Genomic DNA, 25,177 nt, shown 5'->3' with positions numbered 1-25,177 from the left:
GTGGAGGTTGCAGTGAGTTGAAAATTGCGCCATTACACTCCAGCCTGGGCAACAGAACGAGTCTCTGTTTCAAAACAAACAAACAAAAACAAAAAACAGTGAGGCCTCTTGTTCCAGAATTGTTAAGAATTTCAAGATAGTGACAGCAGAACATGGAACCAAGGGTGGGGCCCTTCTGAGGGCTGAGCCCCGTGTAACGGGTAGAACCACAAGAATCCAGGCAAGCCTGGGAGCAGTGGCTCATGCCTGTAATCCCAGCAGTTTGGGAGGCTGAGGCGGGAGGAACACCTGAGGTCAGGAATTTGAGATCAGCCTGGGCAACATGGCAAAACCCCATCTCTGCTAAAAAATAAAAAATTAGCCAGGCATGGTGGTGTGTGCTTGTGTTCTCAGCTGCTTGGGGGTGCTGAGGTAGGAGGATCACTTAAGCCCAGGAGGCAGAGGCTACAGTGAGCTGAGATCGTACCACTGCACTCCAGCCTGGGCAATAGAGTGAGACCTTGTTTCAAACAAACAAACAAACAAACAAACAACAACAACAAAAAAAACCCCATAACCCAGGCAAAAGCCCTTCATAGCTTGGACTGCGGGGGTAGACCTGAGGTGGTAACACGCTGGCAGATTCAGTGTGTACTTTATATTTTGAAAGTAAAGCCAACAGAATTCGCTGATGGATTGGCCGTGGGCTGCGAGTTGCGTTTGGTCTTAGGTGCTGAGTGAATGGAGGAGCCTCTAGGGAATGGGGTGGGGCCGGGGAGGGATGCGAGTTTATTTTGGCTCAGGGGTTCAAAGCTTAGTTCACATTGCTCAGTGTTCAAGCCTTTAACCTCCATATTCACTAGGTGTTTTTCTGCCTGTTTAGCTCCGGCCGTTTTCATTTGGTACTGCACTTTCATTCGTTTGCTTGTTTGTGTTTTCAGTTTTCTGAAAATTTGGTAACTTATTTAACCTGTGGGCCTAGGAGGGATGAAGAGGGAGACCTGAAGTTGGGGGCTGACGGCACACAGGTGTGAGGAGATCAGGAGATCGAGACCATCCTGGCTAGCACGGTAAACCCCGTCTCTACTAAAAATACAAAAAATTAGCCGGGCGTGGTGGTGGGCGCCTGTAGTCCCAGCTACTCAGGAGGCTGAGGCAGGAGAATGGCGTGAACCCGGGAGGAGGCAGAGCTTGCAGTGAGCCGAGATCGCGCCACTGCGAGATTCTGTCTCAAAAAAAAAAAAAAAAAAAAAGAGAGAGAGAGAGAAGATGGAAGGGATTTTGCTTTGGTTTTGAAACTGCCCAATCTTTCTTTCTCTCTCTCTCTTCCTTCCTTCCTTCCTTCCTTTCTCTCTCTCTCCCTCCCTCCTTTCTTTCTTTCTTTCTCTTTCTTTCTTTCCTTCTTTCTTTCTTTCTTTCTTTCGTCTGTCTTTCCCCCTCCCCTTCCCCTTCCCCTTCCCCTCCTTCCCCTTCCCCTTCCCCTTCCCCTTCCCCTTCCTCTTCCCTTCCCTTTTTTGATGGAGTCTCGCTCTGTCACCCAGGTTGGAGTGCAATAGTGCGATCCGGCTCACTGCAACCTCCACCACCCGAGTTCAAGCAATTCTCCTGTCTCAGCTTCCCGAGTAGCTGGGACTACAGGCGCATGCCACCATACCACCCTAATTTTTGTATTTTTAGTTGAGACTGGGTTTCACCATATTGGTCTGGTTGGTCTCGAACTCCTGACCTCAGGTGATCCACCCGCTTTGGCCTCCCAAAAGTGCTGGGGTTACAGGCATGAGCCACCATGCCTGGCTGAAACTGGCCCAATTTTCTAACAGGCTGGATGCCCATGAACTGAAGCTTTAGAAACTTACATGTGTAAGTTTCAATGAAATGAAATGCACCTGCTGCCTGTTGGCCAAATCCTCTTCCTTGCCCCTCCTGTTTTCCTTCCTGGCTATATCAACCCTTAACTTTAGTTAGGCATGATTAGTGTCGTTGCTGAGTTCTGGCCTGCTGCAAAGTCCTGCAGTTCTATTATGCAGGCTTTCAGGAGACAGAGCTGGCCCCTGGTTCCTTTAGCTCCCAAGTCAAGGGGGCCATCCCAGCGAGTGAGCTCTGGGGTTCTGTAAGTGAGTGTAGCTTATTTTTAATGGGCCCATCTGTGGGCACAACTTATTTATAATTTGTAAAAATGTACACATATGACCTATGGGTTTCCAGCTGGATTCTTGCCTTGGGCCCTTGCAAATATTAGGGGCAAGTCTCCTCCAGTGGTTTCAAGCACCTGTTAGGGACTTGTGGACTAACCTTTAAAGGGATCATTTGCATTGTATATTGACAGGAATTGCTTGAGTATTCAATGTAATGAGTGTAATTAATAAAAAGTGAATACCTTTTAAAAAATCAAAGCATGATTAACCTTTGATGTGTGCCCTAAGAAAATGATTTGAATGTTTGAAGCTATTGAACTGTGTTGGTTACACAAAAATGGATATTTGGGCCTGGCACAGTGGCTCACGCCTGTAATCTCAGCACTTTGGGAGGCAAAGGCAGGTGGATTGTTTGAGGACAGGAGTTTGAGACCAGCCTGGGCAACACAGGGGGACCCCAACTCTACAAAAAATGTAAAAAGAAATTAGCCAGACATGGTGGTGGTGGGTGCCTGTAGTCCCAGCTCAAGAGGCTTGAGCCTAGGAATTTGAGGGTGCAGTGAGCTATGATCATGCCACTGTACTCCAGCCTGAATGATGGAGTAAGACCCCATCTCAAAAAAAAAAAAAAAAGTTTATGTTTGAAACATGTGGATAGGAGATACGTAAATGTGACTGTTTCCCAAGTGGTGCAATCATCATTTGGGAACCATTGGTGGGGAGACCCCACTCTTTGCCCCTCAAATGAGATACAAGCAGATTCTGTCAACTCTGGCTATAAGTGTCTGCCTCAGACAGGAAATATTCTGCTAAGTCAGTGGAAGCCCACCTTGCATTTGTTTTAGCCCAGTGGACATATGGTGGCTTCAGATCAAAGAGGTTTTTACTGTCTTCCTTCCCTGTTTCTCCCCCCAAACTATATGGAGCTAAGTTAAGGTCTTAAGGGTGGGGACATAAGCTTGTTCAAGTGTAGCCCCACCATTGGAGTCTGAATAGGACTTTCTAAGTCCAGTGCTGTGTCGTGGAAGTCTCTAGTCAACAGAACCTGTGGGCTTTGAACCTTCTGCTGTCAGAGGCGTTGGAAACAGAGCGACTCCATCTTGAATAGGGGATAGGTGAAATGAAGCTGAGACCTGCTGGGCTGCATTTCCAAGCACAGGATGAGATAGGGGGTCAACACAAGATACAGGTCACAAAGACTCTGCTGTAAAACAGGATGCAGTGAAGAAGCCAGCCCAAACCCGCCAAAACCAAGATGGTGATGAAAGTGACCTCTGGTCGTCCTCACTGCTCATTATATGCTAATTATAATACATTAGCATGTGAAGAGACACTCTCGCCAGCGCCGTGACACTTTACAGATGCCATGGCAATGTCAGAAGTTACCCTATGTTCTTAAAGTGGGAGGAACCCTCAGTTCCTGGAATCGCCTACCCCTTTCCTGGAAAACTTATGAATAATTCGCCTCCTGTTTACCATTAATCAAGAAGTAACTATAATACACTAGGTCAAGCAGTCCATGCCACTGCTCTGTCAATACAGTAGCCGTTCTTTTGTTTCTTTGCTTCTCTAATAAACTTGCTTTCACTCTACTTTGTGGACTCACCCTGAATCTTTCTTGTGTGAGATCCAAGAACCCTGTCTTGGGGCTGGATCTGGACCCCTTTCCGGTAACACTGCTATGGGTTTATGCTGTAGCCTACCCCAAAGAGCATAGGAGAAAAGAAGAAACAACAGAAAAGTCGATATGCAGAATCCCATTCCCACCAGGGTTGTGGGTCAGGAAAGGGACCGGCAGGCAGAGTGAACACCAGCCAGGCAGGGAGAACCCTGCAGGAATGTGCTCCCAGCCCTACGTGGCTGGATCAGGAATTCCAAAACTCTCAGCAGGAAATCTGTGTTCTCATTAAGGCCTCTCCTTAACCTTAGCCCAATTCTGCTGCTATTGGTGAAGCTTAGGTGGACCGAGGGCTAGGGGTGAGGAGAGAGGAAGGGACATCTTCCCAGACGAGAAAAAAATACTTTGTCAGAAAAGCTATGGGCCTCTCTGAAGAACTTAAAATCAGCTATACAAGTTGTGAAGAGAAGTCACAGTTCTGTTTAGTCTCCGACAGAGCAAACGTCAACATGTTTTATCAACATGAAAAAGAAAAACAAAGAAAATCTATGGGCACTCTGGTAAAACCCCACTGGTGATGACTAATGCCATTCTCTATTGAGAAGATGCAAGTGATCTGTGTCATCTCCCAAATTTTGGTTAAGCTACATCTCTAAGTGTGGCTAATTTTGCTCTCCACACTGAATCTTTTTGAGCTGCTGATGTGAGGGGTGAGAAAAGAAAACAACTTTTATCTGAGTAACGCAAGTCCTTTTAATTATCAGGCCCAGAGAGACATTACAATGAGACAGTGATCACATCCTTCTCTCCTCTTTGAGCTGGGTACTCATCTCTTGAAATTGCTGGCTTTTGCCACAAGTAGCATAAATTAACCTAATAATGCTGCATCTGACACTATCCTCCACACCGTGTAGCCAGTCACTAATCAATATTATTGATTAGCGCAATGGCACAATCAATGCAATGGCACGATCACTGCAATGGCACTGCAGCCTCAGCTTCCTGGGCTCAAGCAATCCTCCCACCTCAGCCTCCCAAGTAGCTGGGACTAAGGGTGTGCACTACCATGCCTGGATAATTAAAAAAAAAAAAATTCTGTAGAGTTGGCGACTTAATATGTTGCCCAGACTGGTCTTGAACTCCTGGCTTCAAGTGATCCTCCCACCTTGGCCTCCTAAAGTGCTGAGATTACAGGTGTGAGCCATTGCACTTGGCCTCACTATTTTGAGTGAATCCAACACAAATTCTTGCTGAAGAAATTACATTAAAATCCCAAATCAAGTTCTCTCTGTGCCTTGACCAATGGAAGGCTCATCTCTGCAGTGAATTTTGCATTGCTAATCCCATGCAAGAAACGGGAGCTAATGCATATTGCCTCCTGACTATGTGTTGGGCCCCGGCTAATTTTTGTGACCCTGTCAGATGGATGACATTATAATCTCCATTTCAGAAAAAAATGAAGAAAGGTAGGAACTAGAGAGAGAGGTAAAGCCCCTTGCCTCAAGTCCAACCCAGCTAGTAGAGTCAAACAAGGGTCAAAGCCCAGATTCCAGAGGCCTTGGCTCAAAGCCACCACATTCTTTTGGCTCCTACATGCTGTAGTTGTGACGGTTCATGTCATATCCAGGTTACTGACTTTGGAAAAATCCTACAGAGACATTGGCTCTGTCCCAGTAGGACTGAAACTGGAGGGAAGTCAAAGAAGAGGTGAACTTGGGTTTGTATTTATTCTCCTAGGTCTTGCTCCTTGGGACCTCACCCATTAGCACCTCACATCACCCATTAGCACTCTGCCATTAGCACCTCCAATCAACCCTCCTGGGAAAGTGAAAACTTGCATTCAAGTTAGAGAAAGTTCCTTAGATTTTTCTCCTAAACTGACTAAAAAGAACCTTTCAGTTTTGACTCACCTACTTTTCTGTCTTCCTTCCTGCCTTCCTTCCTTCCTCCCTTCTCTTTCTCTTTCTCTTTCTCATTCTCATTCTCCTTTTCTTTCTCCTTCTCTTTCTTTTCAGAGACAGGGTCTCACTCTGTCACCCAGGCTGGACTGCAGTGGTATGATCATAGCTCACTGCAGCCTCAATCCCCTGGGCTTAAATGATCCTCCCACCTTAGCCTCCTGAGTAGCTAGGACTACAGGTGTGTGCCACCACATGCAGCTAATTTTTTAATTTTTTGTAGAGATGGGTTCTTGCTATATTGCCCAGGCTGATCTCGACCTCCTGAGCTCAAGCGATCCTTTCTGGCCTCTGCCTCCCAGAGTGCTGGGATTACAGGCATGAACCATCCCCCACCCTACCCCCTGCTTCTTCTTTCTGTTTCTAATTCATTGAAACTAAAGAGGCTTAGCTCTCAGAACCACTTGAGTGTCTCTGTGTACTGGCACATGGGGCTTCTTTGCACTTATCTATTTCTAGGGACAGATGCTGAGGAAGCTCCGACTCAGAGGCAGCTGAGTGATGGCAGAGGCCCATCCCTTCCTCCCAGAGAGACCCGAGAAGCCGGGGAACTTACGCAGGAGATATTCGGCTGTGTCCTGTTCGTAGTCAGCATCTTCAGGGAAGTGATCGATTTTCTTGCACACGCCTCGGAAAGCCCCTGTGGAAACAGATAAGGGTTCTGAGCCTGGGGGAGGAGACAGAGCTCTGGGGGCCAGCCTGGGTCCTCACCGCTATGTGCAGATCCTTTCTCTGGTTGTTGGGGGCTGTAGGGTTGTTGGGCTGGTAGGCCCAAGAGCACCTTTATTTTTTATTAGAGACAGGGTCTCATTCTGTGGCCCAGGCTGGAGTGCAGTGGTGCAATCATGGCTCACTGCAGTCTTGAACTCTTGGGCTCAAGTGATCCTCTCACCCCAGCCTCCCAAGTAGCTGGGACTATAGGCATGTGCCACTATGCCTGGCTAATTCAACATTTTTTGATAGTGACAACAAAAGGTCTCACTATCTTGCCCAGGCTGGCCTCAAACTCCTGGCCACAAGCGATCCTCCCTTCCTCAGCCTCCCAAAGTGCTAGGATTACAGGCATGAGCCAACGGGATCAGTCATCAACAGCATGTTTCTTTAGGGCACAAAAAAGAGACCAGTAGAGGCAAAAGATAAACAATACAAAGCAGGAGATGGAAATTTGCTGCTTTTTAGATTTTGCATGATGTTGGGATCCACTTCAGAAGCGCAAAAACACCATGAAACATAAACACTAATTATGAAGACTATCTTATCTTTCCCCTCTCCTCCAGTCAGTGAAGGAAAAAGCAGGCAGAATTCAAGTACATCATTTTTTTCGCTCATTTTACCAATGAGGAAACAGGGCTTAAGAATTTTTCTTGAAATCACTCAGGTAAGTAGCTATTTAGGTTGATGTAAAAGTAATTGTGCAGTTGTGCAATTACTTTTGCACCAACCTAAATAGAACCGGCATTCCAATCAAGAGCTGAGTCCAGGCATTCCAGAATAGTCCACTCTCCCCAATGATGTTCATATCTGACCACAGGACACTCCCTTTCCCTCTCTGCCCTCCCAAAGGATCACAGCTCATCTCCCTCGCTATGAGGTTCACCCCTTTGGGAGCCTCAGATTTGCTGAACATGCATCTTGAACATCCGTCCACATTTGCTGTCTTTTTTGTTTTGTTTGAGACAGAGTTTCTCTCTTGTCGCCCAGTTTGGATTGCAATGGCACGATCTCGGCTCACTGCAACCTCTGCCTCCCGGGTTCAAGAGATTATCCTGCCTCAGCCTCCCGAGTAACTGGGATTACAGGCACCTGCCACCATGCCCGGCTAATTTTTGTATTTTTAGGAGAGATGGGTTTCACCATGTTGACCAGGCTGATCTCGAACTCCTGACATCAGGTGATCCACCTGCCTCGGCCTCCCAATGTGCTGGGATTACAGGCGTGAGCCACCTTGCCCGGCTGAGGTGTGGATGTTTAATCATCATTTTGGGTGTTAGTTAACTAGACAGTTAACCAGTCTCTGGGGGCAGTTAATAGCTCTGCCAGTTCTTTTAAAGGACAAAAAATTTTCCAGAAATTATGCATTCTTGTCCCTTTCCCTGTCTGTGTAGCTGGAGTGGAATCAGGGGGGCGGGCATTGTGATGTCGTGGGAAACGGACAAGGTTCGGAATCAGACAGAGCTGCGTTGGTATTTCAGAACTGTTATTGTAAGAATGAAATAAAGCTATACATGAACATGAGATAATTTTTGCAAAGCTCTAGGCATGTCATAATAATGGCTGACACTTATTAAGTGCTTCCAATTGGCCAGGCACATAGCTGAAACCTTACACCCCTTATCTCATTTACCCTTGTTTACCACCCCAGGAGGTAGAGGCTATTAGTATTAACATTTGATAATGAGACAATGGAAAATCACAGAGGAGATGGTGTCACAGCTGGTGAGTGACGGAATTGATTTTTGGATCCAGGTTTCAAAGGCTGTGTAGTTTCACCATTACACTATGAATAGTAGCCGTTATTATTATGGCTACCATGGCTACTATCATGATGTCTATTATGATCTCATAAAAATAAGAGTGTCATATATTTAATTTCTACTATAAGTAGGCTCCAGGCCAGAGCCATTTCATAATAAATGCCTTGGGATATGTAGAACATCTCCTTGGTTCTGATTCTCCGCTTACCAGGCAAATAATAGACTCAGAACCAGGAAGGAGGTTCAGGAGAGAAGACTCAAGGAAATTCTTAGAAAAAAGACAGACCCATAATTTCTTCCCTGATATTGGGAAAAAAAGACCTTATTCATGCTTGTTCATATTTTAGAGTTTCATTTATATATGCCTGTTTGGTTTTAAGCCCCATCCCCTTCCAGTTGACTGGATAAGAAATCATAATAAGTAACACACGTGTGCACCTACTATATACCAGGTACCATTCTAAGCATTTATGCATTTTTTTTTTTTTTCTGAGACTGAGTCTTGCTCTATTGCCCAGGTTGGAGTGCAGTGGCACGATCTCAACTCGCTGCAACCTCCACCTCCCAGGTTCAAGCGATTCTTGTGCCACAGCCTCCCGACCACCAGGCCTGGCTAATTTTTGTATTTTTAGTAGAGACAGGGTTTCACCATGTTGGCCAGGCTGGTCTTGAACCCCTGACCTCAGGTGAACCACCCGCCTCAGCCTCCCAAAGCACTGGGATTACAGATGTGAGCCACTGCGCCTGGCCACATTTACGTGTTTTATCCTCTTTAGCTATCTAAATGACTTTATGAGGTGCCTAATGTTATTTATTTATTATTTTTTTGAGACGGAATCTCGCCCAGACTGGAGTGCAGTGACGCAATCTTGGCTCACTGCTTGCTCTGCTCACGCCATTCTCCTGCCTCAGCCGCCTGAGTAGCTGGGATTAAAGGCGCCTGCCACCATGCCTGGCTAATTTTTTGTATTTCTAGTAGAGACGGGGTTTCACTGTGTTAGCCAGGATGGTCTTGATCTCCTGACCTCCTGATCTACCCGTCTCAGACTCCCAAAGTGCTGGGATTACAGGTGTGAGCCACTGTGCCCGGCCTGAGATGCCTAATGTTATAATGAGGCAATGTTATTAATATGAGGAGGAAATTGAAGCTTAGCCAAGTCACCGATTTACTCAAGGACACAGCTTGACATTTACCAGCTGACCCCAAAGACAAAGTTCCTAACTACTATTATGAATTACACTCTCTTCAACAAGTCTGTATTGTGAACTAAGTTCTTTGCCTGGTCGCTTCATGATCATTTTATAGCCTACCCCCTACTATTGATGTTGGCAATGAACTGGACCAGTGGCTTCTCCATTAACTATGCTTCCCCATGGCATGTCCCAGGGGCACCTGGGCAGGGGAAGGGTGTTGGTAGTGACACCATCCATTGTTAGTTGATTTCCGTACTCCTCATTATTTGCTGTTTTCCACGAAAGATTTCAAAGGAAGAAAGTGTTCAGGTGAAGATGGAATGGGAACCTTACTAAATACAGACCAGTCAGAATTACTGAGGGAATTCGGAACTACATACACGTGGGCATCTGCTTGTGAAATGGGCCTATTCATGGTGACTTCAGGCAGCTTGAAACTAAGACTTAGAACCAGCAAACGCCAGTAGCTCCTGGAGACGCAGTCACTAGTTTTGTTGTTGTTGTTTGTTTGTTTTTTAGGCAGAGTTTCGCTCTTGTCACCCAGGCTGGAGTGCAATGGTGTAATCATAGCCCACTGCAACCTCCGCCTCCCCAGTTCAAGCGATTCTCCTGCCTCAGCCTCCCAAGTAGCTGGGACTACAGGCATGCACCACTATGCCCAGCTAATTTTTTATTTTTAGTAGAGAAAGGGTTTTGCCATATTGTCCAGGCTGGTCTTGAACTCCTGGCCTCAGCTGATCCACCTGCCTCAGCCTCCTGAAGTGCTGGGATTACAGGGGTGAGCCACTGCGCCTGGCCTGCAGTCACCAGTTTTTAATGGTCTAAAGCAGCTTACTACTACCCACGTTTGTACAGCCCATGAGCCAAGAATGGTTTTTGCATATTTAGATAGTTGAAAAAAAAATCGAAAGAATATTATTTGTGACCTGCAAAAAAATGTGAAATTCAGATTTCAGCGTCGGAAAATAAAATTTTATTGAAACACAATCGTGCCCATTTGTTTATATTGCTTCAATTTCCTCATTATAACATTAGGCTCCTCATGAAGCCATTTTGAGAACAAAAGAAAATAAAACATGTTGATGCCACTATAACAGAGTTCAGTATTTGCCACAGAGATAGCAAAGCTGAAAATATTTACTCTCTGGCTGTTTAACAACAATTTTGCTGGTCCCCGGTTTAAAGATTTCTGTCCCAAGAAGGCAAAAATGGAAAGCAAAGGGGAGTTTGGGCCTTCCTGGGATAGAAGATGTAATCTAGGCTGGTGTTTCTAAAGTAGATAATATTGGCTTCTGGCGCAAATCTGGGTTGCAGACTGTTTCATTTTGTGGTTTAATCTGTGTGTGTTTGTTTTACCTGCAATACTCTTTTGCACATTTTATTTTTAAAAATTAAGTAAGCTTCTGCATTTTATTTTATTTTTATTTTATTTTATTTTGAGATGGAGTCTTGCTTTGTCACCCAGGCTGGAGTGCAGTGGTGCAATCTTAGCTTACTGCAACCTCCACCTCCTGGGTTCAAGTGATTCTCCTGCCTCAGCCTCCTGAGTAGCTGGGATTACAGGCGCGTGCCACCATGCCCGGCTGATTTTTGTATTTTTAGTAGAGACAGGGTTTCACCATGTTGGCCAGGCTGGTCTTGAACTCCTGACCTCAGGTGATCCGCCTGCTGCAGCCTCCCAAAGCGCTGGGATGACAGGCGTGAGCCACCGCTCCTGGCCTATGCTGCTGCAATTTAAAATTCTGAATATTTCACATTAAAAACTGATTCGCAGTTTCTCTTCAAAAATGGGGACCTCTGTCTCACATTTCCATGCGGGAGTAATGAATCCCTGGATGACGTAGCTGACATCAGCAGCCCTCTTTAGACTGGGTGTAAACTCTCCAGTTGGCCAAAGTCCCCACCTGGCTCTATATTCTTGCCTGGCCCTGTAGATATTTGAGTTTGCAACCCCCGAACCAAAATGTATTTAGTAAGAGCCCAGTCTTTGGTGTCCCACGTAGGCATGAATCCTGACTCAGCCACTTACTAGTTGTGGTATCTATGGCAAATTACCTCTCCAAACCTCAGTTCCTTCTTCTACAGAATGAAGATAATAATAGTAACTTCATGGAGTTGCCATGAGAATTAGTTGAGGCAGTAATAGCAGTTATTACGCCAGTTGCTGTTCTCAGCACTTTACACATAAATCTTTTAATTAGGCAATGACATAAAGCACTTAGTACAGTTCCTGGAGTATGGTAGGAACTCAGTATATTACAGCTATTATTACCGTTGGTTTTGGTAGGTACTTTAGGATCACAAGAGACACATTGGCGCCATGGTGAGATTTTAAGAAGCAATATAGAAGGAAAAGGAATCAAGAATTTTCCCCAAGGAAGACTCCACACTGAAAATGAATCTGCTGGCAACCCATGTCATACATGCATCACAAAGTGAGCTTGGACATTCATGTAAGTAGCATATTGCTGGCTCCCAGAAATAACCACTATTTAGCATTTTTGTATATTTCCTTCCAGGCTTTTTTTCCCCTGTGCTTTCGCACACAAATGGCTTTACAAAACTGGGATCGTGCTGTTCTTCTCACTTATATTTTCTTAGGAGTATCCTCCCATATCAGTAAATCTTAGAAAAGTAGAATGAGATTGGACTTGCCCACCCACTGTAGAAGATGGAACCAAGAGAGATGGTGAAAACATGCAGACTGCAAGGATGAAGTCAGGATGCAGAGAAGAGCACAGCTTTAAGTTCAGGCATTGGAGCAGAGAGAGGTAGAAGCTAAAGCAGGAAAAAGATCAATGGCGTTTGGTCTGGGTGACGGATCCGGTGGTTACAGGTGAGGGAGGACAGGAGCCCAGGTGACGGAGGACAGGAGCCCAGCGAAGGGCATGTGTGAGAGCCGGGCCCTGAGAATTCATAGACCCCAGGACCCCGGGAAGAGGTTTGGAGAGAAAGACAGAGCCAAAAGAGATTTCCGGAGGTGTTGAAGTGCAGTTGTAGAGACTGGCTTTTTGGTGGCCACAGCTTCATCCTGGGGAGAGAAGATTGTACTAATAGTTCGTCTCTGGTTCAGACAATGGAAAAGTACTTCCTTCACATGAGGAGGGGTGCTGTCCTTAAGCGGATACTCTTTTTTTCTTTTTCTGTTCCTTTTTAGTTGACATGTAACAATCGTACATATTTATGGGATACAGAGTGATACTTTGATACACGTATATAACGAATAATGATCAAATCAAGGTAATTGGCAAATCTATCTCTTTTAGCTTTTGGAAAAGGTACACTAAATTATTTTATTTATTTATTTTGAGACGGGGTCTCGCTCTGTTGCCCAGTCTGGAGAGCAGTGTCATGCTTATGGCTCACTGAAGCCTCGACGTTTTGGGCTCAAGTGATCCTCCTACCTCAGCCTCCTATAGCTGGAACTACAGGTATGCACTGCCACACCTAGGCTAGTTTTTATATTTTTGTAGAGATGGGGTCTCGTCATGTTCACGATCTTGAACTCCTGGGTTCAAGCGATCCTCCCACCTCAGCCTCCCATGTAGCTGGGACTAGAGGTGTGCACCACCACAACCAGCCAATTTTTATATTTTTTGTAGAGATGGGGGTCTTGCCATGTTGCTCAGGCAGATCTTGAACTGCTGGACTCAAGCAATCTTCCCACCTAGGCCTGCAAAAGTGCTGGGATTACAGGTGTGAACCACCACACCTGGCCACACTAAGTTATTGTTAACCATATTCACCCTACAGTGTTATAGGATATTAGAATGTATTCCTCCCTTCTAGCTGTAACTTCTGACACTTTTTCTTAAAGGTCAAACCCTTGAAATTTTCCTACTGAAATCAGGACTGAGATAAGAATGCCCATCATTGCCTCGATTATTTGTTATGGTTTGACAAATTCTAGCACAAGAAGGAATAAAACAGAATTAAGAGTTATAAGCAACAGAAAAAAAATGGAGTAAAATTACAATTTTTCCAGGTGATAGAATTAGTCTACTTAAGTAGCTGAAAGTAGGCCGGGTGCAGTGGCTCACGCCTGTAATTCTAGCACTTTGGGAGGCTGAGGCCGGTGGATCACCTGAGGTCTGGAGTTCGAGGCCAGCCTGGCCAGCATGGTGAAACCCCGTCTTTACTAAAAATACAAAAATTAGCTGGGCGTGGTGGCGGGCACCTATAGTCCCAGATACTCAGGGTGCCGAAGCAGGAGAATCTGTCTAACCTGGGAGGCGTAGATTGCAGTGAGCTGAGATGGCACCACTGCACTCCAGCTTGAGTGAGACAGCAAGACCCCAGCTCAGAAAAAAAAAAAAAAGGAAGAAGCAGCTGAAGGCAATTAGCTGAGAAAACACAGTAGAATGAATGAAAGAGCTCAGTGAGGTGGTTTCTTACATGATATTAAGCCATACAATAAAGCTGTAATAATTAAGTCATTGTGGTACTGGCATTTTAAAATCACATTTACTATGATATTTTTTCAATACAGAGAAATAATACAAAGAAAACAAGAAACAGTCCATTACCCTTTATTCAGTTAATCCCTTTTAAATTAAAAAGAATAGATGTACATAGAGAATTAAAACAGTATGGAGGGATTAAAAGTGCTTTCCCCACCACCAAAAATTCTCTCACCTGATAACTCAGCAGAATAATTTTTGTTAACTGCACGTGGAGTGAAATTATGTCTAAGCTGAGACCTGAAGGTTAATGAGAAGTTAATCAGAGGAAGGGAGGCGTGTTTCTCAAAGCAGAGGGAATAGCATGTGTGATGATGAGAGAATGAACAAGAGAAAAACTCATTTGGGAACTCAAAGTAGCTCAAGGTGTTTAGAGGATTAACGGTCTGGAGGACAGATCCAGTGGGTACAGGTGAAAGGAGAGGGGTGATGGGAACCGGGGAAGGTAAGTGTGAGAACTGGGTTGTGAAGACTGGTTTTAGGTCCTAGGGATTCCCTAATGCCCAAGACAGAGACGGTCTTGATCCTCAGAACTTGCATTCTCACTGAGGAGAGAGACTATAGACAATATAACCGAGCTTTGAAAGATACAAAACACTGGGGCTGGGCATGGTGGCTCATGCCTGTAATCCCAGCACTTTGGGAGGCCGAGGCAGGCAGATCACTTGAGGTCAAGGGTTCGAGACCATCCTGACCAACATGGTAAAACCCTGTCTCTACTAAAAAATACAAAAATAAGCTGGGCATGATGGTGCGTGCCTATAATCCCAGCTACTCGGGAGGCTGAGGCAGGAGAATAACTTGAACCCAGAAGGCAGAGGTTGCAGTGAGCCGAGATCTTGCCACTGCACTCCAGCCTGGGTGACAGAGCGAGACTCTGTCTCAAAAAACAAACAAACAAAAACAAAAAACCAAGAAAGATACAAAACAGGATGATGTGATAGCAACTCTTCATTGGGTGGGGGCAAGTGGAGGGCAACATTGGATAGGGTTGTTGCAGAAGGGACACTTGAGCTCAGACCTGAAAAAAGAGAAGGAGCCAGTTATATGAAGAGTCCAGGAAAGAGCTTTCCAGGTAGAAGGAAATGGAAATGCAAAGACCCTGGGGCGAGAGTGAACTTGGTGAGTTTGAGGAACAGAAGAGAGGCTAGTAGGAAAAAAGAAGGCCTATTGCGGTGGTTTCACTGGGTCCATCAGCTGCCCTTCCAGCTGTCTTTTCAGCACAGGGATCACTGGGTCCATCAGCTGCCCTTCCAGCTGTCTTTTCAGCACAGGGATCACTGGGTCCATCAGCTGCCCTTCTAGCTGTCCCTTTAGCTCTCCATGTCCCTTCAGTTGCCCATGTCCATGTGCAACTCAACCTCTGGAAAATCTAGGAGGTTGAGTTGCACATGGACATGGACCAAGGTCAGCCCCAACTCTTTCTTAGGGTAGGGAGTAACCTTGAGACCACCAGATTTGGGGTAACTGAAAGAACTGACTTGGTTCTGGGTGGCTTCCAAACATGCAGGAATGGGGAGGGAATCTAGAAATGGGATGTTTGTATTTTTAACTATTTTTTAATTTAAAAATTATTATTATTATTATTATTATTAACAATGGGATCTCACTACATTGCCCAGGCAGGTCTCAAACTCTTGAGCTCAAGCTATCCTCCTGCCTCTGCCTCCCTAAGAGCTGGGATTACAGATGTGAGCCACCATGGACCTGGCCTGTATGTTTAACTCTTAAAGCCCTTGTCATCTGTCTCTGGAGAAAGTGGTGCTTCCCAGGTACTTGAGCTGAAAAGGGGCTCAGAGTCCCTATTTTGAGTGTTTCCTTTCAGATCTCAGCAGCGTGGGCCCCAGCCTGATCCTGGGAAGTGGTCACCAGCAATCACAAAGGGGTATAAGGCTGCTTGTCTGTGGATTTTTACAAGTAAGTCAGATGGTTGCAATCTGGGGGAGAAATCGGCTGCTTCTTCTTCAGCAGGTGCCTATCTGACCTCTAGAGGGGTAGTGTGGTATACTGGTAGGAACGCAAGCTTTCAGTTTGAATCCTTGGCCAGCCACTAAGTTACTACTTGTATGGCCTTGTGCAATGGACTGAATGCTCACGTCCTCTCAAGATTCCTATCTTGAAATCCTAATGCCTGCAGGGCATGGTGGCTCACACCTGTAATCCCAGCACTTTTGGAGGCCAAGGCAGGAGGATCTATTGAGCCCAGGAGTTCAAGACTAGCCTAAGCAACATGGCAAGACCCCTCTCTACAAAAAGTTTAGAAATTAACTGGACATGGTGGCACACACCTAGAGTCCCAGATGCTCAGAAAGCCAAGGTGGGAGGATCACTTGCGTCTGGGAGATTGAGGCTGCAGTGAGCTATGATCACACCACTACACTCCAGCTTAGGTGACAGAGGAAGACTCTATATAACAAAACAAAACAAAACAACAACAACAACAAAAAAGAAAATCCTAATGCCTACAATGATGGTATTAGGAGTGGGGCCTGCTGGGACATAATTAGGTCACGAGGGTGGGGCCCTCATGAATGGGATTAGTGTCCTTATAAAAGAAACTCCAGAGAGCTCTCTTGTTCTCTTTCTTCCCAGGATCATACCTATACTAGGATTATAGGTATGAGTCACAGTGCCTGGACTTGATCTCCTCAGTTAGAAAATGTTAATGATTGGCTGGGCACAGTGGCTCACGCCTGTAATCCCAGCATTTTGGGAGGCTGAGGCAGGCAGATCACAGGGTCAGGATATCGAGACCATCCTGGCTGACACGGTGAAACCCCGCCTTTACTAAAAATACAAAAACAAAATTAGCCGGGTGTAGTGGCGGGCGCCTATAGTCCCTGCTACTCGGGAGGCTGAGGCCGGAGAATGGCGTGAACCTGGGAGGCAGAGCTTGCAGTGAGCTGAGATCACGCCACTACAGTCCAGCCTGGGAGACAGAGCGAGACTCCGTCTCAAAAAAAAAAAAAATGCCAGTGATCTCCAGATTGCTGGGGTTTCTTTCTTTCTTTCTTTTTTTTGGAGACAGAGTGTTACTCTGCTGCCCAGGCTGGAGTGCAGTGGTGCAATCTCGGCTCACTGCAACCTCCGCCTCCCAGGGTCAAGCGATTCTCCTGCCTCTGCCTCCCGAGTAGCTGGGACTACAGGTGCATGCCACCAAAATTGCAAGAGCTCAGGGCCTAGGGTTAGGCAGACCTTGGTTTTATGACTCAGTTTCCCCTTTTCTAAAAGTATTTATTGGGCCGGGCACAGTGGCTGACGCCTGTAATCCCAGCACTTTGGGAGGCCGAGGCAGGCGGATTTTTTTTTTGTTTTTTATTTTTTGGTATTTTTAGTAGAGACAAGGTTTCACCATGTTGGCTAGGCTGGTCTCCAACTCCTGGCCTCAAGTGATCTGCCTGCCTTGGCCTCTCAAAGTCTGAGATTACAGGCGTGAGCCACCACCCAGCCTGTTGGGGGTTTCAAAAGAAATCATCATAGTATCCATGTTTGTTGAGATGTGCTCTGTCAGGCCTTGGGTAAGGGCTCTTTGGGTATTCCTCACAATCCCATGAAGCAGGCACTATTGTTGGTCATAGGATGAGCTGAGGAGCATGGATTTTGGAGCCAGAATGAGCGGGTTTGAATCCCAGCTCTGCAAGTTGCTTAACTTAAAAGTGCCTCAGTTTCCTCCTTTGAAAGCTGAGAATAACAGTAGGAATAGAAAAGTCAGTGTTCGTCAAGTGCATTAGAGCAATGCTTAGCACATGGGAAGTATGTATGTGGATGTCCATTCAATAAATATGTTTATTTTATTTTATGTATGTATGTATGTATGTATGTATTTGAGATGGAGTCTTGCTCTGTTATCCAGAATGGAGTGCAGTGGCGCGATCTTGGCTCACTGCAACTTCTGCCTCCCAGGTTCAAGCGATTCTCATGCCTCAGCCTCCTGAGTAGCTGAGATTACAGGTGCCCGCCACCACGCCCAGCTAATTTTTATATTTTTAGTACAGACAGCGTTTCACCATGTTGGCCAGGCTGGTCTTGAACTCCTGACCTCAGGTGATCTGCCTGCCTCAGCCTCCCAAAGCGCTGGGATTACAGGTGTGAGCCACTGTGCCTGGCCCAATAAATACTTTTATAGAAGGGGAAGCTGAGTCATAAAACCAAGGTCTGTCTAACCCTAGACCCTGAGCTCTTGCAAAATCCTCTAAATAGCACTAACATAGTGCCAAGCACTGGGAAGAGGGTTAACAGGGGGCAGTTATTAATATCATTATCTCTATTTTGGGCATGGGGGTGAGAGGAAACCAATGGGAAATTGGAGGGTATGGCCTTCTTCATCCTGCCCTCACCCAGACATGGGTACACATGTGCAGACCTGTGCATGTGGGTGCATGCATGCGTGTGTATTCTCACAGAGCGCTAACCCAGGCAAGGAGCCCCAGGAACCATCACTCCCGGGAGGGAATAGACCTAGACCAACCTGCCATGCCAATTTTGGCCAAAGGCCAGACAGAGCTTTCTGGGTCATTCAAAGACAGCTCTGAATTTAGTGGATCTGACTTCAAGTCAAGAAATACTGGATCCAGAGCAGAGAGGCCTGGGGAAGTGAGACTATCATCCAAGGCCCAATCTTTCCAAGTTTGCAGTCCTGAAGGGAGATCCTAAATGGGGAGTGGAGACAGGTTTCCCCAGGATGTCCCCCCTCCAGTGGAAGGAGAGGATATCAGTAGAGCCTCTTGATGGTCTTCTCACATCCATCTCCTCTGCACAGCCCACACGGAGGGTCCTGGGGCAGATTTTGGTGGCTGTGAATCCACGAATCTAACAGAGAGACATCACTTCAGAGCAGGCTCTGGACAGTCATGATGTGCTCAGAGTGAGGGCTGGCACTCCTCACCAGCCCACCTAGCCCAGCCACAGTGCCTGGAACCTGCTCCAACCCATAAACAGGGCCAATTCTGTAGCCAGAGCTTGACATCCATCTCAGCATGAGTCCAGCCAGTGCAACCACATTCCAGGCCCCCAAAAGCCCAGCTTAGAGCTCAAAACAGAGGCCAACAGGAACCTAGGGTCCAGCGTTGTAGGTCTTTTGCTAGAACTCTTTTGTGAAGATTTTTGCTTTATGATATCAGGAAGGAAGAGCAAATATCATTTGTGTTTATGCTTCCTGAGTACTTGGGTTAAGCCCTTGATTAAGAATGTTTGGGCCCCTGTTGTTACAACAGATCTTTATTATCTGAGAATAAAGATGCCTTACAACAGTGATTCTCAACACTGGTTCACATTGGAATTACTTTGGGAAGGGAAGCTTGAAAAATGCTGAGGCTGGGGTTCTGCTCCCAGGGATTCTTACTTTATCTGGGCATCTGAATTCCTCTCCTGTCCTCTCCTCTCCTCTCCCCTTCCTTTCTTTTTGAGAGATAGGGTCTTGCTCTGTCACCAGACTGGAGTGCAGTGGCACAATCATAGCTCACTGCAGCCTCAAACTACTGGGCTCAAGAAATCCTCCTACCTTAGCCTCCTGAGTAGCTAGGATTACAGGTGCACGCCACCATACCCGGCTAATTTTTAAATTATTTTTTTTTGTAGAGATAGGGTCTTGCTATGTTGCCCAGGTTGTGGATTTTTCAAAGCTCCTTGGGTGATTAACTGTGCAGCTAAGGTCAAGGACCACAGCCTTCAGGTGAGTCCACTCAAAAATAGGGACTAAAGCCTCTTTCTAGATGAGAATGGGCACTGTCGATCATGGTGTCTGAAAATTGTAAGTGGCTAAATTGAAACACAGGTTATGCTTCCATAAGAGTATATGTATTGCAGTGGTGACAATGAGACCTGTAACACTTTGAAAATTTTTTTAAGAGAATAAAATAAAAGAAAAAAAACCCAGGGCCTCCTATTCATAGTAAACAATCAAGTCCGAAAACATGCTTCCAACTTTATCTGAAAATGAAATTATAATTCAGGAAAACATGCTGATTTTTTTCTGATCTTCTTTAACTATGTACTAGGGTAAACAAAAAAAGTAAGCTTTGTTGATTTCGGAGTGGCAGGGTTGGGGCATGCATAATTTTTCTGATAAAATTGCGTGGTAGTCCAGTATGAAATCTTTCCCTTCCCTGACAAGATCATAAAGTTTGACTTTCACAGCAGGATCATAAAATGGGTCATTTTTGCAAGCAATATTTGAGCCTGTCATCAGTTTTCCTAAGGGCTCCTGTTAATCCTTTGATATTCAAATCATTGGATGTGTCTATCACATCATCATTCTTGTCAATTTTCTCTTCTTCCATTGTTAGCTTGTGTCCCTCCAGCAGGCTCTTGTCTACCCGTGGTTAACACATCACGTTTTGCCTCCTATTTTCGTTGTTTTGTCACGTGTTGACAAGAGCTGGCAATCAGAACCAGGCTGTCAGACAAAAACCGCGAATTGCAGAGTGTTAAATGGGGCAGGGGTGTGGAGTGGAGTAGGGAGGGGGTGCCTGTGTAGGGAATGATTTTATAACTGGTCCGGTCATGAATGCACATATTCATATTAAGACAGAGTTTACTTGCCTGTCCGTGCAACCTTGCGCACACAGGGATTTGGATAATGAATTCATAGTAACAAGGACCCTGAGCTGAGCTTGGCCCCTGATCAAGATGAAGCACTTAGGGTATAGCAATTACAAATTACCGCTTCTAATAAGAGAACAACGAGTCAGTTACTGAGAAATAAACATTTTCTTCTGGTGTAAAGAACTGTGGTTGATGCACATCCTGATTTATTCTTTTCTCATTCTTTTTTTTTTTTTTTGAGACAGGGTCTTGCTCTGTTGCCCAGGCTGAAGGGCAGTGGCACAATCATGGCTCACTGCAGCTCCAATCTCCCAGGCTCAGGTGATCCTCCCACTGCAGCCTACCAAGTAGCTGGAGCTGCAGGTGCATGTCATCGCCCTTGGCTAATCTTTTTATTTTACTTTTGTAGAGATGGAGTCTCACTATGTTGTCCAGTTGGTCTCAAACTTCTGGCCTCAATTGGTCTGCCACCTTAGCCTCCCAAAATGCTGCAATTATAGGCATGAGCCATTGCACCCGGTCCCTGATTCATTCTTTTGTTCAATAGATATCTGGAGAGGCACCTAGGTTGCTTGTGTTAAGCACTGTTTCCAGCACTTGAAATTTATCAGTGAACAAAATAGACCAGGCTGTTATATTCTACCAGAGAGAGATCTAGCGTAAACAAAGAAATAAATGAAACAAATGCATCACTAAAAAGGAAAAGATAATTTCAGTGGTAAGTTCCATGAAAATAATAAACCCTGGAGAGAATGTGATTGGGGTGGGGGAGGACAGTCGTGAGATTGGGTGGACAGAAAGGGCCTATCTGAGCAGTCAACCTGAGTGACAAGAGGAAGCCACCCATGGGAAGATTTGAGGGAAGAGCCTTCCAGGCAGAGGAAACTGCAAGTGCCAAGGCCTTGGGGAAGTATGGCACTTTAGTGTGTTTCTAGAACCAAGACAAGCTCAGGGCAACTGGAGCAGAATGAGTGAGGGGGAAAGTGGGATGAGATCAGGCCCATGAAGGAGCAGGCACACATCACCGAGCTTCTTACAGGCCAGGGTCCAGAACTGAAAAGGAGCATGTATGGTCCAGGCTTTGGAGGGTTTTCAGCACATGAGAAACACAATCTGATTTACAGTGTAAGAAATCTCTTTGCATGCTAGGAACTTGTGGAGGAGCAGGAATGAAAGTGCATCTTAGAGGAATCATTGAAAGTGACCTTGGGCCTTTTGGAGAAGCCACTGGTGATGGGGGTGGAACAGTGATCAAGCCAGAGTCCACAGAGGTATGCCTCTTCGAGAGAGGGTACTGCCTTAAAACAGAGTATGGGAAATTTAATGAGGAATGACAGTCCTTGCTACCTGTCCATTTCTGCACATGATGAATAGGCTTGCTTCATTTCTAAAGAGCCTGGTTTTGAGCTCTTTGCTTGATCGGCCCATTGAATGTGTTTGGGAGGTTTAGAGTGAACTGTTTTCCTTGGTCCTTCATTATTTGGTTATTGAGGGTTTTGATTCTGGTTAGTCCTGGACCTCAGAGCCAAGAGCCCAGCCCTTCCTAGCCTAGACCACAGGGCATGTTCACCAACACAGTACCTTGAAACTTTGTAGGCACTGCTGTAGGAGTCACCAATTAGGTAGAATAGTCATGTGTTTGGGGTACCAGCAAAGCAGGGGTACAGAGAGAGAGAGAGACAGAGAGAATGACAACTATAAATTATTTGATATTTGATGTTTACAAAAACCATTGAAATGCAATGGAAAAAAACCAGATGTGTGTTGATCTTCCTTACTTAACAGCTTAGTATTACTAACACTGGAGATCTGTGAGGGTAGGGTGGTCACCCTGATCATTTCACTGTTTAGAGTGTCTGAAAGTCTTCTTAACCCTACCTTGGCAGGCATTCAAAAGCATGAAGAACTCATCCTGTTTCCAGACCACAGAGGCTTCTGGAGCTTCTGGGGAGAAGGGTTGAAGAGAACAAGTGTCCTGGGTCTTAGCTGCTTTTTAACTGGTGACATCTCTCTTTCAGAGGTGCCTGGAAAAATTGAGTCCACTTGCATGAGAATCACCTGGGCTCTTCTTAAAACAAACCAACAAGTGCATTCCTGGGCACCTACCTACACAATGCCCTGAATTAGAGGCTTTGAGAACCTGTGTTTTTGAACAGGTTTCTCCAAGATTCTGATGCATAGCAGAGGCTGAGAGCAGTGCTGTGACCTCAGGAGGTGCTCCAGCCTCTGTCGTCAGATGGACACACAGTATTGTCATAACCTCACAAAAAACTTGCCCTCAGGGAGTATTTGAGACCCTGCCTGGAGGATAGGCAAGATAGGTTTGGGGATGTGGAAGGTTTGTGGGGAGGGTTATTTCCTCTTAGAAGATTTGGGATTGAGGCCTTCTGAGACTGATCTGAGGTCTCCCTACAAGCAAGCATCACAGCCATGGTGAGTCCTGAGTCCTTGACTGCAGCTGCGAGTGCAGAGCTGGTCTGTACCTTGGACTTGGGCTTCACTTTCATGGGCCAACAGAGTTTGACATGGTTCCCTAATGCAGCTACGCACATGGTCACTGGGATGCTCCAGCAGATGTGAGGGATGCTCATTGCGTGGCATTTAACTTATGTCTCATTACCAGACACTACCAGTTGTTTCTTTTCTTTTATTTTTTCTTTTTTTTTGAGACACAGTCTCACTCTGTTGCCCAGGCTGGAGTGCAGTAGCTCAATCTCAGCTCACTGCAACCTCCATCCTCTGTGGTTCAAGAGATTCTCGTGCCTCAGCCTCCCAAGTAGCTGGAATTACAGGTGCATGCCATCATGCCCAGCTAATTTTTGTATTTTTTTAGTAGAGACAGATTTCACCATGTTGGCCAGGCTGGTCTCAAACTCCTGACCTCAAGTAATCCACCTGCCTTGGCCTCCCAAAGTGTTGGGATTACAGGCGTGAGCCACTGTGGCCCAGCCACTACCAGTTGTTTTCTAATCCTGTAAGCAGCATGTAAATAGCACAATGACAATATAATGTGTAGAGGTTCAGAGTTTAAAATATTATTTTTGACCCTAATGTGACACTTTCTTCATTAAAAAAGGTAATGCAGGAAGAGTTAAAGAAAAAAAACAAAGAGTGACGTCTCAACTCCTGAGAGACCTGGGCTTGGATTTCTGTTCCCTGCAAACTACATAAACATGTGCAGAATCAAACCTGCAAAACTGGAGCCTATGTTTAACTGTCTGTATAAAGAGCCACACTTTTTGACATTTTGTGAAACGTTAGCATTCTGACTATGTTAAGCTGAGAAAGAGAAGAGAGCCTCCTGGATCTGTCTCCAGCTACCCTGGACTGCTTATTTCAACCTTCGCTGGTCAGCTCTGCCCAGCACTAACAGATTTGCTCCCAAGCAAATCCATCCCGGGCCCTGACATTTATCCGGGGCATCTTTTACTCTCTTCTATTCATTAAGCATGGGTGGTTGCCACGGCAACCATTAACTGCACCTGACATCCAGGAATAGTTCTGGCGTTTTGAGCAAACACCACACTGGGATTTAGTTCTGCAAGGTAAAGACCTGGACGCCTCCCTCCAACTTGCATGGACATCCTGGTGGTTCCCCCACCCCTGCTCGAATCTGAGCTGCCCCCAGGCTTCTTGGGTGAAGAAGGGAAACAGGGCGGTGTCTCCTCCCCCAGATCCCCATTCTCCCTGCCCACTCAGCCCTTAGGATCTTTGCTAGTTGCCATATGATGGGGGTGTGGCGGGGGCTGTCTCTGAGTGGGGTGAGCCTACGAAAGGGTGTATGTGTGTATGTGATGAAGTCGGGGTGAGAGTGGAGGGCATCCCAGGTTATCAGAGGTGGACGCAGACGCATTTTGGAAGAGCAAGGAATGTAAATGGGCACACGATGCCCGCCTGTGGATGTGACTCTGTGTGGGTGCACTGGTGAGTACATGTCTTATGGCTGCCAGGCCTTTGCAGCTGATGCTCTTTCTGCCTGGACCACTTTCTCCCAGCCCTTCACGGGGCCGTCAGGTCCTCACCTCACTTGAACATCTCCAGTCACTTTCTTTGCTAAGCTTACGATGATCCGTGAGTATGCGAAATATCTTGTTTATATTTATTGCCTAGTTTATTTTCTGACTTCTTATTTCCTAGACTATAAGCACCACTGAATCCCAAATATCCTGCACCCAATCTGATACACAGTAGGTGCTTTATAACTGTGCCCTGAACATCAGACTGTCCTTTGTATATGTCTGCAGGTATCTTGGGCAACTTCTTGTTGGATGGTGACAAAAGTCCTTAACCTGGCCTACGAGATCCTCTGTGATGTGGCCCCAGCCCCTCTCCAGATCTTTCTCACCAAATTTCTGCTGCACAGGCTTTGTTTTATCTTTCCTGCCTCAGGGCCTTTGCACGAGCACCCTCAGCCTCAATTATTTCTCCCTCTCCATCCTGCATTTGAGTAATTTCTATCTGGGCTTCAGATCTTACCAAAAATATGTCCCCAGGCTGATGCCATCCAATAATCTGCCCTCACAGCACCACACCCTGTGCTTCTCTTTCAGGCACATATTACAAAGGATTAATTATGAGTTTAATGATGTGTCTGTTTATTCCTCTCTATTGTAAATCCCAAGAGCATCTCTGTCTTGCTCACCACTGTCTTCCCAGGACCTGGCACATAGTAGGTTGTTAAATAAACAAGTGGACAAATGAATGTATGGGATGAGTACTGCGTATTTCCTTCATGTCTGAATTGTTTTTACTTTGTTTGTTGTCTGAGACAAGGTCTTTCTGTGACACTCAGGAGTGCAGTGGCATGATCATAGCT

General features: G+C 45.8%; 1 protein-coding gene and 1 non-coding gene across 2 annotated transcripts in view, besides 1 other annotated feature; one reads left to right on the top strand and one right to left on the bottom strand.

Annotated features, from left to right (window-relative positions):
- CACNG3 (calcium voltage-gated channel auxiliary subunit gamma 3) overlaps positions 1 to 25,177 on the bottom strand; it is a 106,078-nt gene that overhangs the window by 9,349 nt on the left and 71,552 nt on the right. The window contains exon 2 of the mRNA NM_006539.4: positions 6,247 to 6,330. Coding sequence (NP_006530.1) covers positions 6,247 to 6,330 — 84 coding nt within the window. The remainder of the gene's footprint in view (positions 1 to 6,246; positions 6,331 to 25,177) is intronic.
- Positions 9,031 to 9,532: an enhancer, noted in NCBI's record as "H3K27ac hESC enhancer chr16:24354853-24355354 (GRCh37/hg19 assembly coordinates)". NCBI's record gives its function as "activates a minimal SCP1, AML or CMV promoter by ChIP-STARR-seq in primed H9 embryonic stem cells {active_cell/tissue: H9 hESC(primed)}" and the evidence as "EXISTENCE:reporter gene assay evidence [ECO:0000049][PMID:30033119]".
- Positions 19,517 to 19,649, top strand: LOC124900377 (small nucleolar RNA SNORA1). Its single transcript, XR_007065226.1, has one exon. It is a non-coding gene; the product is annotated as a small nucleolar RNA SNORA1 (small nucleolar RNA).

The sequence above is a fragment of the Homo sapiens genome, chromosome 16 (assembly GCF_000001405.40).
Source record: "Homo sapiens chromosome 16, GRCh38.p14 Primary Assembly".
Lineage (NCBI taxonomy): Eukaryota > Metazoa > Chordata > Mammalia > Primates > Hominidae > Homo > Homo sapiens.
This window is presented reverse-complemented; position numbering and strand designations above follow the sequence as displayed.